Source organism: Homo sapiens, chromosome 11, assembly GCF_000001405.40.
Source record: "Homo sapiens chromosome 11, GRCh38.p14 Primary Assembly".
NCBI classification, from domain to species: Eukaryota; Metazoa; Chordata; class Mammalia; order Primates; family Hominidae; genus Homo; species Homo sapiens.
In genome coordinates, this window is record NC_000011.10 from 126869401 (window position 1) to 126886364 (window position 16964).

General features: G+C 43.5%; 1 protein-coding gene and 1 long non-coding RNA gene across 21 annotated transcripts in view; both read right to left on the reverse strand.

Annotated features, from left to right (window-relative positions):
- Positions 1–16964, reverse strand: part of KIRREL3 (kirre like nephrin family adhesion molecule 3) — a 580037-nt gene that overhangs the window by 446043 nt on the left and 117030 nt on the right. The gene's annotated exons all lie outside the window — the stretch shown is intronic.
- The window catches only part of LOC105369559 (uncharacterized), an 88316-nt gene that overhangs the window by 17078 nt on the left and 54274 nt on the right, over positions 1–16964 (reverse strand). For all 4 annotated transcript variants that reach the window (XR_007062939.1, XR_001748435.2, XR_948149.3 and 1 more), the window contains one exon: positions 1–14129. This exon is cut by the window's left edge and continues 17078 nt beyond it. This is a non-coding gene — a long non-coding RNA (uncharacterized LOC105369559). The remainder of the gene's footprint in view (positions 14130–16964) is intronic.

Consider the following 16964-nt stretch of genomic DNA (forward strand, 5'->3'; position numbering starts at 1 on the left):
CTGCAGTGTCTCCAGGGATCACCTCTGACATGAGTTACTGGCACTGGAATTGCAGGGTCTATTTCTGGGCGACTGAAAGTAGGACATGGTAGTCTTTAATAATTGAAGAGATATGCATATTTGGTGAATAGATAAATTCCTCTAATTGTACAAATGGGTTCAGCTCAAGTCTAGTAAACCAGGTGGACCCATTTCCAGTGTCTAGACCCAGCCCTGTCATGTTGTCCATGTTCACAGGGAGCTGGCTGCATCCGCCTCAGGGTGCTCTCATCATAGTGTTCAACTTACACACCCCTGACCTCACCCCACTCCCAACTAGGATTGTAAAGTCCTGGAAAACAGGGGCCTTGCCACACTGAGTCTTTACTGTAAGACCCTCGCACAGAATAAGTGTTCGCTGAATCACTTTCTAATTGGATCCAGTTAAGCAGAAGAAAACTCCCCTCTGTGCAAAGGCAAAGCTATTTCCAGTGCCTTTCTCTGGCTTCCAAAGTGATGAAATTCAGTTCCCAAGGCCACAGTGGTTCACTAGAACCTTGTAATGGGTTCATTATTTATCCTGTTGTACCACCCCTGAGTGACCTTTCAAATGGTCTCACAAATGTCCTTTCCACAATTCATTTCAAATGCCCCTAAACAGTCCTCTAATCTTGAGTAAAGTTCATTGGGCCCATGTACAGCTGGCACTTCCTTTGAATCAGGGGCCCATGAGCACTGTGATTAATGACCAGGAGTGAGTGTGGGCGAGTGTGGGGCACAGGGTCGTATGTCCTGGGGCAGGGCTCCCTGTTCACGGTCTAAAGCCACATCCTGTCTGCCCCAGGCTCATATTCTGCCAGGGACCACACTGAACACCCTCCTCAAGATGCCAGGGCTGCCTGTGCCATGTACTGCAAGACAGCTGGGATTGTCATGGACATCAATATGAAAGGCAGTGCAGGAGCCAGGCTGGATTCCAATGCTGTGGCTGGCTGGAGGTCCCATCCAGTCAAGTGGCTCGCCACTTAGGTCTGAACCAAAGAGCTAAACAGGAGCTGGAGAGCTCTCCCTGAAGCTTCCATCCCTGGCCTTTAGAGACCGAAGTCTCCTGAAAGGCAGGTCCTTGCAAGAGGTAAAAGGCTCAGTAGAATGCAGCTTCCTGGCCCGGCTCCCATAGTGGCCCCTCCTGGCTCCACCATACCCTCACCATGCCAGGCTTGGCAGGCCCCAAACTGGACAGACAGAAGCTCCCTCCAACCTCGTTTCCAATTCCACTCATGGCCGCCATCTATTTGCACAGCTCATCTGGGAAGGCAGCAGTGATAATGTGAGCAGGAGTCCAAGAGGTCACGAGGCATACCCAGCTCCTGCCATTACAGAGGAGGACAGCTACCCAGAGCACACTGCCCCTCCCCACTTCCAGTGTAGTTCCTGCACTGCCCCTCCCCACTTCCAGTGTAGATCTGGGCCCCTGTACATGTGGCAAGACCTGGAAGTGGGTTCCCTGCACAGAAATTTTCTGCCTACCTTACAGAAAGACTGGACCAAAACTGTTCTACATGGCCACAACAGGCTTGGATCTCATTGCTCCAGAGAAGCAGGTCTGCCCATGCCCTGGAAGCTGGCTCAGTTTGGGCTCTGGAGCCAGGAGCAGACATCAAGAGCATCCACGGAGCCTCTTTTGATGAAAGGAGCAGATGATGCGAAATACAGTCCAAATGGACTCTTCGGAATCAGTTCATCCCTCAAACAGCGGTGTACTGCCACTCAAAGCATGCCGAGGACACTGCCGTCTGCTCTGACACCTGAGTTTGAGTTGTGTGTCCTTTGGAAGGAAGAATAAGCAAAAATAAGTGACTCCCCCTCACCGCTCATAAAGAACTTCTAAGTCTGAGTGGGGAGGGACATGCAGGACCACCTTTGAGAGAAAATCAAGAAGGAGGCCCTCAGCACAAATGGCAGGCATGCTGGGTTGTTTAGGTCCTGTTTCATGCTACATTATGCTGTGTGACTTTGGGTAAGTCACTTACCCTCTCTGAATCTTCAAAGGCTTCATATTTGCACAAAACTCTTCCACACTTCACAGAGTTTGAAAAACCACAAGAAAGAAAGGAAGAAAAACTTTTATCCAAGAGCAGGTATGAGGCTTCTGAATAAAGCTGAAAGTAGTCATTCTCCTGGACTCTTTCAGGAGAGCTGAGTTACCTTGTAGATCTACTATGAGAAAACCTGGATTATTGAGGGGCAAAGGGGCTTTTTGGTCATTTGCAGTAGCCTCTCCCTTGAAGAAGCAGGAATCACCCTTGTGGCATTTGTTTGAGCATCTTCATGATAATGGGCAGAAAGGAGCTTGTCTTTCTTGGGTCAGGAGCAGGGAGGTGAGGAGTGATCAGAGGAGACCTGAGTCTGGCACTGAAACCAGCTATACTTTCATCCAACACATTTCATCAGGTCCTGAACACTGAAGACACCAGTGAACAAAGAAACCCCCAGTGCCTGTCTTCATGGGGCTTACATCTGTAGGACACCCTGCCATCAGAGAGTGGAAGAGGAGGTGTGACTGGAGTGACTCAGGATATCCTCCTGTTTCACCACAGTTCCCTGGACTTTGTACTTAATGCAGACAGTGGCTATGAGGTAGGAAATCAGCAGAGCTTGTTTTCCCAGCAGTGGTCACAACCTGGGTTGTCACCTTGCTGATTGGAGCAGGATCTGGTAGAAACAAGGTGCAGTGAACAAGCTGGCCAAAACCAGCAGACAGTGATGAAAGTGACCTCTAGTTGTCCTTACTGCTCATTAACATAAAAAGATACTTCTAGTAGTGTCATGACACTTTACAAATGCCACATCAATATGCCATGGCAATGACCTGAAAATTACCTTGTATGGTTCCAGAAACTCCCTGCCCCTTTTCTAGAAAGATCTAAGTAACCACCTCTTAATTTGCATGTAAATAAAGGGGGTATAAACACAGTTGTCAGCAGCCCATATGCTGCTATTCTGGGCATGGGCACGGGGCTTATGGGGTAGCCCTGCTCAGCAAGGAGCGGCTCCCCTGCTGCTGCTGTATGCTGCCACTTCAATAAAGTTGCAAACTGATTTCTTTCACCATCATCTCCCCATTGGATTATTTCCTGGGTGAAGCCAAGAACCCTCCCGGACTAAGCCCCAATTTGGGGGCTCACTTCACCTGCATCATTTACATCAAACAGCCCCTCTAAGGGACCTTAGGCCTTGTTATCTTTGAAAAAATGCTCCAGAGTGTCTATCTTTTCTTTCTCTGTCTCCCTCCTATCCCACCCCATCCTGGGCTTGTTTTCATCTTTGTCAGTGTGGGTACTTTCCTGCTCTGTGCTGCCAGAATGGTGCTGAATATGAATGAGAAAGTAAATTAGATACTGATCAGCTCTCCATTTCCATAGTGTGTTGAATAATACCCCATGACAACTGGGGTTTGAAAGGTAGCCCAGCTCTGGGAGCAGGCCTCCTGGGCATCTAAGTGACGGCCACTGTTCACCAGCTGTGCCGAGTTACTACACAGCCTGGAGGTCAAGTCCTTCTCCCATAATCACTTGGATGGAAAATTAAAGCAGCCTGCTCCCTCAATGGTTATACATTCTGGCACAGAAATTAACAAATTCCCCCAGAATCCATAACAGATACATCTTTGTTCAGCCAAAGAACTTTGATATAAATTGTAGCTTTTTAGGACGGCTCTGTCAAAAGTGTAATATATCATGGAATAGTGAATACAAGTTCAAAAGTACATATAATAATATAATTAAGATAGCTTGACAAGAATGTATTTTAAAAGTATAAAATACCTGCAGGTATAATAGCTTCATAAAGTCTGTCAGATTTACTTCTGCTGTGAAGAAATTTAAAATGTTTTACTTTAATGTGATGCAAATGAAGGCTGAGGTATGCATATAACACAGTCCTTAAAAAATAGGTAGAGGGAAAAGAATAAAAGTCAGATTCAGGCCAAACAAGACATTCAACTTTGCGGGTGACTGGATAATAGATCAAGCAAACAGATTGGGGAGCGATGCCGGGCTGTTTGTAGAAAACACCAATTTCACATTTCCCTCCTTTGCTGGCTGCAGGAAAGTATGTGTTTTTATTCAAAATTAATGATTCCCTTTGTGCATTTTTCTTTTTGCTCACAAGAGTCAAGCATAATTCTTGTTTAAAGCAAAAGCAATTTTTATATAATTACTAGCTCATGAAAAATTATTTTTCAATGTATTAAAAGCTGAGGAGAAGAGTGGGCGAGTCATACCCTGCACACACATGTCCGGAACACCTCAGGTCCACAAAGAAGAGCTGCCTCCAGGTGAACAGGAGTCCAGGCATCTGTCCAGCCTCATCCATACACTGAGCAACAGTATCCCTCACTTGGCTGACTGGGTGCTTGGACAAAAATGCTTTTTCAGGCAAAGAAGCAGTAACTGCCTACCTCGTGTACAAGAACACCAACGTATGGAATTACAAGATTAATGCAATCAGCAGGGCCACATATTGGGGCACCCAGACCACCTTCCACTTCTAACTCTCCTGCTAAAAACTTTTTTTTCCAAGAATTCTATCTCCCCAGCCTGGTGGTTTGCACCGTCAAGACAAACCCAGTAATGTCCACATCTTTGCACCTCCCCTTCCTGTGCAGATCTGATGTACTAAGGTGATGCAAAGGCACCTATCCCCAACCGTTACTTAAATGAAACCTTCTGGCCTGATAGCATTTGCCAAGCCTTCATTGCTTTCTCATTTTCTCCTTCCCCATTGGCATTAGATCGAAAGGTCTCTGAGTTAGCTAGCTACCTGGTCTCAGGAACTCTCCTAAACTTCCCCAGCCTTGGTCATGGTTTACAGTAGAGTCAAAAGTCCCTTCCCTTGAGACATGGCAGAAAATTCTGATATTTCAGCTCTCCAACCATGCTTATGAGGGTAGGTGCTTGCCAAAGCAAAAAAGTTAAAGAATGGAGTGGGGAGAGCCTTGCAACAAGAGGCATCTCTTATTCAGGGTAAAAATTAGAAGCTTGAATCATGAAACAGTGTAGTTTAAAAATCAGCACTGCCGGTGCCTGTGCTGCTGATGACTGCACTCGGAAGAATTTTCAAAGTAAATGTACTTTTCACCATTATCTCACTCATTTGCATTCTGCTCCATTTGGATTCTGAAACTCAACTGGACGCTTTATTTTCAGGGTAGGTCTGCATGATGGCAAACAAACAGTTTGGGAAGGAATTAGCCATATGGGCCTGGGCATTATTTTCTTAATGTGGGAACTGGGTCAACCCTCTACAAAATGTTTCCTCAAATACTTAAACTGGCACACTTTCCTTTTGAGAGGGGAGGTTTTTAGAATTAAGCATCCCAGTTGGCTGTGCGTGGAATGGTGGCTGCATAGATTCCAGCCCCCAGAGGCTCATGAAACATCAAAGGTGAAGCAACGTCAGACACAGCCTGGTCTGGCCTCCTCATTTTCTGACTAAGACATACAGGCCTAGAGAGGTGGAGACCTGGGCAAGATCATATAGCCAAGGACCGAGTCCATGTCATGCTCCCCTGTGTCTCACTGCCCTAAATCGGGAGAGGTCTGTGTCTGCCCCTTCCTTTTCCTCCCTATGTCTAAGAACACTCGCTGTCCTGTAGGGGGCTCCTCATCTCCATGTCTGGGCCCCAATCCATTACCCCAATCCTGTGTGATTTTAGAGGTGGCAAGTGTATATCAATCAATCAATCAATCAACCAACCAGTCAACCAATCAACCAATATAGTCTTCAGCACACCCTCCATATATGACCTTGTGTCCAAAGCGTAGGCCATTGGCTCATTTTCTCCTTGTCCTTTCTCTGTTCTTCAGAACCAGGGACAAAATGAAAAAAAACACTGAAGAGACCCCCCAGAAACCACTCTTCTCCCCTAGTGAAAAACGAGAGACATAATGTGGGGAATGACACTGTCAGGGGTGTCACAAGTGAAGGATAACAATATATGAAACAGAGCTTTTAAGGGTAACCCATTATTTTTGTAATTTGTTTAAACAAAACTGAGTGACTCTTTAAACTCTAATTCACATCTTGGAAATGCAATGCAGCTATCTCTTGTTTCTCTCTCTGGAGTCGTGGCAATAATTTTAATGCCAGCAGAAGGCATTAGACATTAGAGGTGAGCAAGGCAGAGGAGTCTGGCTTTTATCAGATAATTAAGATGCTACCAAAGTCAAACCTTTATCAACATTAGACTAAAAATAAACTCCTTCCATCCAGTGGGCTTTCTAGCAAGCATTCAAAGTGACAGTGCTCTGGATAAGGTTTTGCTTTTAAAAATTGTTCATTGTTTTTCGACTTTTATTGGCAATCCATTCTCATTATGCCCAATGCATTTGTCTTCATAATATGTACTTCACAATTACAATATCAAAGAGTTTGTATCTACATAATAAAAATGATCTATAGAATAGTACAGGGAAAACATAATAACACAGTGTGATTGTTAATGAAATGAATACTTTGAGGGAAAACATGGCATCCCTTGAGAGAACTTGTTCCTATATCATGAGATGCTAGAAACAGGCAAAGGCTGGGAGGTGAAACCGAAATTGAATCTCGGGTTCCCTGGAGGTAGGGAGTGCAGCATGGCACTGCTTGGCTTTGGTGATGGGAGGGGCACAGGAGGGGTATTGGAGGTGACCTATTGTTGGAAATAATGACTTCAAAGGGCAGCCGTCTTCTACTAGCTCTTCAGAACTTTCTGGCCCCAATACTACTAGCTCAACAGACAACTGAAATGAAGCTCAGGTCTTTTCTCTCAAGAATAAGCATTGGCAAGTTCTTTTCATGGACCAAGATTTGCTGCGGCTGACCTGCAGAGGTGCTGTTCAGGAAGAAACAGATCTGCTGGAGGCAACGATCTCTAGACTCAGTTTCTCAGCCTGAAGGCACGGACTACAGAAAGGGAAAATGTGGAGAAGCAGATAGCAATGTGGTAAAAAGATGCTTGGTGCCCATCTGGATAATTTCATCCTACAGCACACCCAGGGAGAAAGAAGCCACATAGCTGGCAAGTGGGGACACACTGTGCTATCCCTGCTCACTGTTGCACCTGATACACCTATCCTAGTGCTTGGCTTACAGTACATACTCATAAATATGCTTTTTTTTTTTTTTTTTGAGATGGAGTCTTGCTCTGTCACCCAGGCTGGAGTGCAGCGGTGCGACCTTGGCCCACTGCAACCTCCACCTCCAGGGTTCAAGCAATTGTCCTGCCTCAGCCTTCCAAGTAGCTGGGATTACAGGCACCTGCCACCATGCCCAGCTAATTTTTTTGTATTTTTAGTAGAGATGGGGTTTCACCATGTTGGCCAGGCTGGTTTTGAACTCATGACCTGATCTGCCCGCCTCAGCCTCCCGAAGTGCTAGGATTACAGGCGTGAGCCACCGTGCCTGGCCATAAATATGTTTTTAATGAATACAAAAAGAATGTCTTCTTTATGGAGCCAAAATTTTCACAATTGATAACCCTTACAGTAGATTGCAGAAACCTATAAGACAGACTATCACTGAACTCATAAAAAAAGAGTTATATTACTGGGCACCCAGGAAAAGGAACAACAGATAAGGAAGAGGTGCAAGCTGCTGAGGTCTGCATAAGAATAAAGGTTGGTTGTGGCGCTTGGCCAAAGCAGGGCTGGGGACCTCTTGCAGGGCGACGAGGAGATCTGACAGATGTTCCAAATGAGAAAGAGGAGGACAAGCAGACGTTCAGCTCTGTTAAGAGACCATTGATTGAGGAGCACTGTTATGCCTCTTAGTTGACAGCCAGTGGCACGAATCCACTGGTGAGAAGAGTTCTCTTCTCCAGCCAGCCAAGAGCTGCATTACATCTGGAACTGGGCTCAGATAGCAAAAGAGCGTTCTATATATACATGCATTTTCAAAATATTGTGGCTTCTGTACATTCAAGTTAAATGTAAGTCAGGTTGGGCAGGGTTTGGTCAGTAACGGGGCAGAGGAAGTAGATCATTTGGTCTCTGAAACCCAAGCAGTCTGTAGTGAAAGTCTGCAATCCTGCAATGGAAAGAATCTCTTTCCTCCACTCACTCACTTCCCTCCCCAACTTCCCATCCACACCTATATGGACACAAGGTCTACCTCCAAAAATGAAATTCATTATATTTAGAGCTAAAATAATTCCAGAATCAATTGACGTAGATGAAAGCATTTTTGACTTGGCTTATTTGAAAAATTATCCCGTTTTATCAATTTTATTTGGCTAGCATAACTGGTGCATGTGCAAGTATAATTTTGAACAGGGAGAGAACTTAGTTGAATTGTAACTAAAATAATTCTGGGCACAGGATGGTGTATAAAAATACAGGCATGACAGGAACAATGTAACAGAGAAAGTGACATACAGTAGTATGTAATAACAGAAGTATCTTGAACCTATCATCCACATGTTTTTTGTGCCTGAAAAAGCAGAATATTATTATAATAGGTGCAAAAACAGTTGCAGCGTGTTAAGGCTGGAACTCCCCCCTAGAGACATAGTCCAAGCTTCTCACTTCACCAATGATGGGACCTAGAATCAAAGATATGGAGGTGACTCGTCCAAGGTCTTAGAAGTGGGATGAAAACCTGGACACCCTAGGCTTCTAACTCAGTGTTTTTCAATTCTACCCTATGGCCTTTCATTCACAGAGAGATAGGCAGGTAGGTACGTTGATGGAAGACAGATAAATACTTATTCTCCAGGTAGTGTCAGCTTTTAGACAAAATTATTCTGTCTTCAGATTGAACATCCCATAAGCACATCAAAAACTCCCTGTAGGACATTTAAACTTTACTGCAGAGTTAAAAACTGTGGAGAGTTAAAAGTCCCCTGCAGCTATTAAAATAGTGTGTAGTGAGAACAGTTGTATTACAGGTGACTAATGGGGTCTCACCACCTCCCACCCCCATTAGATATATATACTGTTGCATTTCTAAGCAAGATGTCCAGTATTTTTACTCCTGGGGGAGGGAGCAATTGCTGACTACTATTTTTTTCAAAACTGCACTAAAACTTTCTTTTGTAAGAAAAACGAGAGAAAAAAATCAATAGAGCATGAAAGGACATGAAAAGTGCATTTTAACCCATATATAATTTTTTTCTAACAGTGCGATTTTTTAAAGCTCTCTACAAAAAATAAAAGTCAATGTGATTCTCAAAGAAAAAAATGCAACACAACCCTGAATTCAGGAGCAAAAGAAAAAAAAAACAAGAATAATGAAGATCTAAAGATTTGACCTAGTAATTTGAGGCACAGATGAAAAATGGTGTAAGCTCTGGCCACCTCTGGGATTGGCAGGTCAAAGGGGTACATTAAATGTGATGGGAAACACATTCTGTTTTTGGATAGTTCAGCATATATCCATATTAAAGCTTTTAAGCCTCCCAACTCAGTGAAATTACTCCGAGAAACCAAGTGTCCCCTTGTGGACCTGGCCACACTTCTATTTTCGTCCTCAAAGAGAAATGGTGTGGCCAAGAATGTGAGACATCCCTAACAGGGCTCAGGTGAAAAGGAAAGGGGAAAAAAGAGTGCAGGTTAAATGCAATATTAAAGACGATCTCTCTCCTAATCAGTGTATCTTTCTTCCTTACAGCTAAGCAATCTTTGTCAATTACAGGGCATTACTCTGCAGGCCAACCGGCAATTACAATGGCATCTTTCTTCCCATCACTGACAGCAAAGGGAGGAAATAGTCTGAGTCCAGCTAAATGTAAAGAGGGAAACTGGAGCTCATCACGGAGGTAATGTACAGGGAACCTATAACCAGGATGCAGATGCTATATGCAGCTGTTATGCAAAGAAGCTCTTGCTCTCAGAGCTGATGTGTTTATTTAGACTAGTGCTGAGGCTGAGTTAATGCCAGTTTCCAGAAAGGATTAATATACACTAACGTGGAATTACTGAACCGTCACACACATCTGGAAATGTATGTTTCAACTCTTTCTTTTTTGTGGCAGCCAGCTGTACCGGAGAAGCAGCTGATGAGGTTGCAGTTGCTCCTGGGCCCCAGCTGATTTGATGTCATGCCGTTAAGATAACTATAGGTCCTTCTGATCAACACCATGGTCCTTTCTCCCCTCTGATCCTTTCACCACTCCTCTTTATTTTGGTCTCACAGTGAGTTTCTTACCTTCATTTTCAAGTCCAGGCTATAATCTCTTCCATTTCTCCCATTTCTCTCACCTCCAAGCCACTTTCCATGTAGCCATGAGGCCTCTCAAAAGAATGGAGAGATAGCCTTGATATTTGTGGTTCAGTCATTTAACCTTTGCACATTTCTGAGTGGGTCATCTGAGAGAATTATCCTTTGGCCAAGAGACCACTTAGAGGAATGGTAAAGGACATCTCAAGGAGCTCAACTGGTCTTATGACCCTGAACCTTCTGTCTCCAGAGACAAACAACATCATGCCCCTCACTGAGTGGTTAGCCTGCTTTTGTGCTCCCATTTCAGAACAGACCATTCCCCCACCACCCCGCCGCCATCTCAGTTATTCAAGAAGGAAGCCATGGTATGTACTGGGAAGTCTTGTGCCTATGGAAATTCCTTGAGATAGAAAAGCTAAAGGCATGAGGTATTGTGAAAGCAATTTGGCTGCCCTACTTCTCTCTTTCCTTTCTCTGTGCCTGTCCTTTCTTGGATGAATGGATTAGCCAATACAGATGTGCGAATTATCCTTAAGTATCCTGGAAAGGCTTTGCCTATTTGACCTTGGGTGCGGCTGTAAGTGTTTGCTCATCAGTAATTACAAAGAGCCTGGAATCTAGAAGTACCTTCCCAATATCAACCACAAAAGCAATTTCTAGTTGAAGATTCTGCTGGGGACTCTTCGACAACTGTTTTCTTTGACCCACTCACCCCACCTTTTGCTTCTTAGACATCCAACTGTTCAGAAGGATCCCACTGAGAGAACATCAGTCAAATCGTCCCTTCGTCTCTGGTTCCAAAGTACCCTGCAATCATTTGTGCCTTCCTCCAAAATACCTCTTTCACTGCCACATCAGAAGAGCTCTTTAAACGCTAACAAGAACCAATATTTTAGATTCTACTGCTAGGCATTTCAGCTCAAGTCACTTTATTGTAAAATTAGATGTCATTGTGAAAAGCATGGATATAAATATAAGAGCAAAAGGCCCTTTTCTTAATGCAGAAACCAAGGTAACAATATCCTATTTTTCCTTGTTGTCAAAAGTTGTGGTTTTTTTTTTTTTTTGATAGCTCAGCCAATATAATGCACTGCATGTTTACACTTAGCATTAAATAACTATTATGCAAAAGTACTCCACAGTAAAATCTAAGTATATTTATGGAAAGCTAAATTATATTGCCAAGTTTATTTTAGACCAAAGAAGCCCCTGGGAAGGGATATTGTGTATTTTAAAGAGTAAATGTAAACTATTAAATAGAAAGAGGCTTTGTGGAATGTAACACATTCTACCTAGGTAAATCACAGAGCAATTACACAGTAAACTTTTCTTTGATGAAGCACTGAAGTGATGACATGTAATTACTTTTCCAATGCTGTACCGTGTGTTTATCAAAATGTTAATGCAAACATAATAACAGGCTGTATGTTTGTGCTGAGAATGTCAGAGCCATCCAGCTGTCAATCACATCTGAAAATAAAATCGCAAATAAGCAGGCAGCTTGATAACAGGAGTGACAGCCAATAGTCACTCTGCTGACAAGTACTTTGCTCCCCTCCACCAATCACAGTGTCACTGTAACGTACCTAATAGGAGGAATATATCTTTTAGGAGCTGGAATGAAACCAAGTGGCATAAATCGGCTGAACTTTGCATGCGACTCCCCCTCCCCCTCTCTGTTAATGGGGCTTCTTTTTGGGGCCAGCAGACCCCATTCCCTCTCCCCACGTTCCTTCAGATCAGTGCCCTTGTTAAAGGCTGCAGAGCCCACAAACGGGCTGGCATTGTGAAAACTCAATTCAGACCAGGTCTCCCAGCCAACTGGCCTGGTTTAATCAGTCAGCGTCAAGCCCTGCGGTACTTTCCTTGGTCATGGTCACCAACATAGGAAGTCCCAGCCTAGATCTGTCGCAGCCACTGGCTGAGCTAGTTTTTCTTAAAGCTCTTAATGCAATTAAAAAAATCATTTTAATATTTTTTGAGACAGAGTCTCACTCTGTCACCCAAGCTGGAGTGCAGTGGTGCAATCTTGGCTTACTGCAACCTCTGCCTTGTAGGTTCAAGCAGTTCTCAGGCCTCAGCATTCTGAGTAGCTGTGATTACAGGTACCCACCACCATACTCGGCTAATTTTTGTATTTTTAGTAGAGATGGGGTTTCACCATGTTGGCCAGGCTGATCTCGAACTCTTGGCCTCAAGTGATCTGCCTTCCTCAGCCTCCCTAAGTGCTGGGATTATAGATGTGAGCCACTGAGCCCGGCCAATGCAACTTTAAAAAACCGAAACAACAGGTGTCTGATTTTAAAGGACAAGTGCCAAAACTGCTAGGGAATCAGAATGAACTAATTAGTGCTTGCAGGGATACAAGGCCCATTTGAGAGCCTTCCTGGGGTGCATGTATGTAGGGGTGTGCGTATATATGGGTGTGTGTGTAGGGGGGATCAAGCCCTAAATAGGCCCCTGATTGGTCAGGTCTTTTCCCATGATCATTTCCTTGTACTCTGGAACATCTAGGAAATGAGCAGTTCAGTCCTGGAAACTTTGTTCACCCTGACTCCTGCCCTCTTGACTTTCTCTGAGAACACTTTTCACTGAAGGATCCTTTCAAATGTATCTAAAAATTGCCAACCACTTGTTAAAGTGTAAGCAGGTGCATACATCTCCTTCTCCTTTAGATTAATGATTGCAGATATTCTTTCCAGTATGGGGCACATTTTAGAATTTTACCTTGCTGTGTGCAGCAGGGCAGAAGAATGGGCCTACATCCATTGCTGAACCTCCTCTTTCTATCCTTATTGTTACAAAATTCACCTCCTTGGTTAACTGAACTAGCAACACAAATCATCCCTACCTATTTGCATTTTGCTGTTACAAAATATAGAGATGGTTTGTCCACCCTGTCCCATGCAATTGTGACCAGGAGAAACGCTCTGGCTCCTGGTACAAAGAGATAGTCTGGAGGCATCCCAGTAGAACGCAGAATGCAGGGAGGAATTACGTCCCTCAATCCTCTGGTCTGCAGTAATCTTATTTCCATTATTTTTCATGCTTTCTGGTGCTGCCAACAAATGTTGCAAAGGCAAGAGCCGATCTTTGACATTCTCGACTGCCTAAAGTGCAGCAAAGAGCTGCTTTAATCCCCCTTTTGTGCCTGCAATGACTAGAAGAAAATTTTTGATCCCATGCTTGGACTGACTAATGGTGCATTTTGAGTGGCAGCCTTCCACTTCTGCAGAAACTGTAAAACTCAACCAAACCTGGAAACATTTGAAGTTTCTGGGTTCAAGAACCATGGGTTCAGAGACCCTCACCTCCATGAATATGACTTGTTGGACATTCAATGACTGTGCAGTAGAGACAACAGGGGTGAGTGTTTAGATAGACCCAGTAGCTCTGCCTGCTGAGCCCCTCTGCCAGTACTCTAACTTCAATGGATGTGCATGATTCTTCCGTTGTAGCAAATATCATTGTAGTAAAAAGTAATACATCTCCTCGTTTAAGTGACAGCAGGTAGGGTTTGTTACTTTAATTCACTTTGCCTTTCTCTTCTGAAAATTAATTGAGTCAGATACTGAATCTGGAGCCTAACTCCTTGGCAGCTGAGCAGGAGACAGGAGGATCATCATCTGCTATAGAGAGTTCTTGAGAAGCCAGGAATAGTTAAGAGGAAATTGAGGCAACTTGGAAAGGCAAAGCAGGTCACCAGAAGTGGTAGGAGAGAGATCTTCAAGCAGCACAGCAGTTAAAGAACTTTATAGCCTCTTCCCAACAAATGCTCATTGTCGCACTTCCTGTCACCTCTCTCTCCTGCATCCCTCTCTATCTATGTTCCAGGCACACGGGACTTTGCATTACTTCCAAAGGTCATGGTCACCGTCACAATTTCCATGACCTTACTCATGCTGGCAACTCTGCTTGAAACGTCCTTAACTCATCTTCTCCACCTGGAAAAAATCCAAACCTTTGATGAAGTTTGGGTAAAGTCACTTTCTGCAGTGGAGAATGCTCCAGGAAGAATGTATTGTTCTTACGTCAGCACTCCCATAAAACCTCTATTTTAGCATTTACTTCCTTACACATAGACTTTTTCCATTCCCACTTCACACTGTGAGGATCTCCTGGACAAGCATTAGTCTCAGAACTTATGTTTGGAACTCTTACACAGGCTGGATTTTCTAAAAGCTACTAAAAAAATGCTTGTTTGAAATTAAAGATCCAATGTTAGAAAGTATGTTATATTAAAAAATGGCCATCCTATATTACCCAGAATCAAAATTGGAATGGAGAGGTGGAGACATAGGTTTTGAATCGATACAAAGAACTTTCTGATCACTGGAGCAGTTCAACAATGGAAGCTTCTCAAAGACATGAGCCCCCTGTTCCTGCAGGTATTAAAGTGGAGGGTGACTGGCCACCCGGGGAGATTGACAAGTGATTGCAATGATCCTTATGATGCTTTTCAATCTTAACACTCTATGAGGCATTGGGCCTACATGGATAAGTAAACAAAATTGTTCAAGTCTATTAATTAGAAAAAGTTCTCTAGTACCGTGGTTCTCAGTGTGTATAAGATTCACTTGCAGAGCTTGTTAAGAAGCCTGGGTCCACCCGCAGAAATTCTGTTCAGTAACATGGAGGTGGTCACTGAGAATCTGCATTTTAAACAATCCCTCCAGATGACTCTGCTGGAAGCAGCTCTAGGATTGTCATTGGAGAAGCATGGTTCTAGAGTGTGCCAATCGATGGGCCTCCCTAAGCCCTCTGTTATTTAACACATCTTTACTCATGTTGACATAAAGTCAGCCCAACCTGCAGGTATGTCCCAATACATGTGCATTAAAAAGTTTATACTCTGGGCTCAAAGTTCAAGCACAGAGAGAATTGCAAATCTACAAAGCGTGACCGCCAGGATGAGGGGCTATCCCTGGGAAAATAGCTAGGAGAGGTCTGAGGAAGGCTGACTGGGTTCATGACAGACACACCACAAGGGGAGGCAAGGTCTCACCTCTCTAAAGTCAAAGACAACATAGCACGCCACGGGGTAAAATAGCAAATGCATAAGCAAGCAAGGATCGTGACCCAGGAAACTAATTAATCGATTCATCAAATGACAGGTTTTGAGGCATCTTCTAGAGAAATGAGATAAGGAGATTTGCCAAGATTGTGGAAGTTCTCAGAAGCAATGATGTCATCTCTCGGTGGAGGCTAATGAAGTGGAAAAGCATAGCAACCATCTTTCAGTACAGAGCTGCAGTGGTGAGTAGATATCAGAAATGCAACCAATGGTTGCTTGGCAATGGAATGGCTTCCAATTAGACAGTCAACACATGACAGAGTCTGCAGAATTAAACTTCATTTGGAGTTGAAAACTTAATGTTGAGTGAAAAGGCAATAGGTTAAGAGATTTGTGTATTGTATTTTAAACATAAAGACTCTTCCACAAATCCAAGTTAATAGAGAAGGCCCTTGGATTCAGATTGGACAGTGGTAGGAAATAGGGTTATTTCAAAGACCTTGCATATGGGAGAGGAATATGATGCCCACAGATGGCCATGGGTACTATATTCTTTATTCTTGGACAACGACTTACTTTTCCATTTTTTACATTTCAGCTTTGAGAAAGATCCCAGATGCAGGGCTGTGTGAAGTCAAGATGTTTCAAGTGTAACTGGATCCCAAAATGGGAACACAGTGGGAAGCATAAAATATCCCAGTATGGTGCCATCTTCTACAGTGTCCATGTTGGCTTCATGAACACCCCAGAGAAAGAAAGACAGCAACATGAAAACATAGAGTATGTTCTCAAAATGGACACTTGGAGAAATTTTCAGGCGTATGTTTATCAAATGCATTTGGTTTCTTAGGAAAGACAGGTTTAGTACAGATAATCCTGGAATCCCAGCATCCCTAAGATCTATTTAATTTTCGTTTGCATTGTTTGTGAATACAATGATCATATCAATCATCATTGTCAACCTCATCATCGTTATCATCATCAAAGTTATTCTCTGAGAAATAACTGAGAAAAAGCCAGAAATGCTGAATCTGCCTTATTTTTTTCTAGCAGGTAATTCTTTCATGGTTACTGGGCATCCCTTCTTTTCTGAATAAGAGAGTATCACTTAGCTGAAGGACAGAGCAGAGGGCAGCAGGCTGGCTCCCGAGCTACCTTAGGTTGTATGCCTCAGGCATGCCCCACTGTGCTGTCTAATTCTAGGGTACTTTGGGCTTTGAAAGAGGTTTCACTTTTCTATTTGGCAACAAATGTTTCATCTAAAAAAGTGTGAGGCTCACAGATAAGCATGATTTTACCACTGTCTACATTAACTGATTATGGGATATTGAACCTAATCAGTAAAGATAAGAAATATGACTAAGAAACAGTTTTCTTTCTTCCCACATTTAATGCGTTCCTCACTTTAATTTTGCATTCTCATCTGCTCTTCTCTAGCTCAATGTCTTGACTCTTTTCCACTCTTTTCTCTTTGCTGTGCTTTGATACTCCCTGCCCACATGACATTCCTGTTAGTCCTAGTGAAGAGGCTAAGTGGTTTTGACCCACGAATACTTACAGATGGTGCTGCAAACCCAGCTCTGAGGATGCAAAGGGTGCAGAAATGTCTCAATGTTGGGAGATAGCCCTGAAGTGTACAAATCCTAAGTATAGCTCCCTGCATGATGATAATGGACTCACTAATATCTATTTTCAGCAGCCCCACACTGCCTCTTCGGAATCTCTCCTGAGGGCTAAGTGCATGGATATTTCATTGACTGGCTTC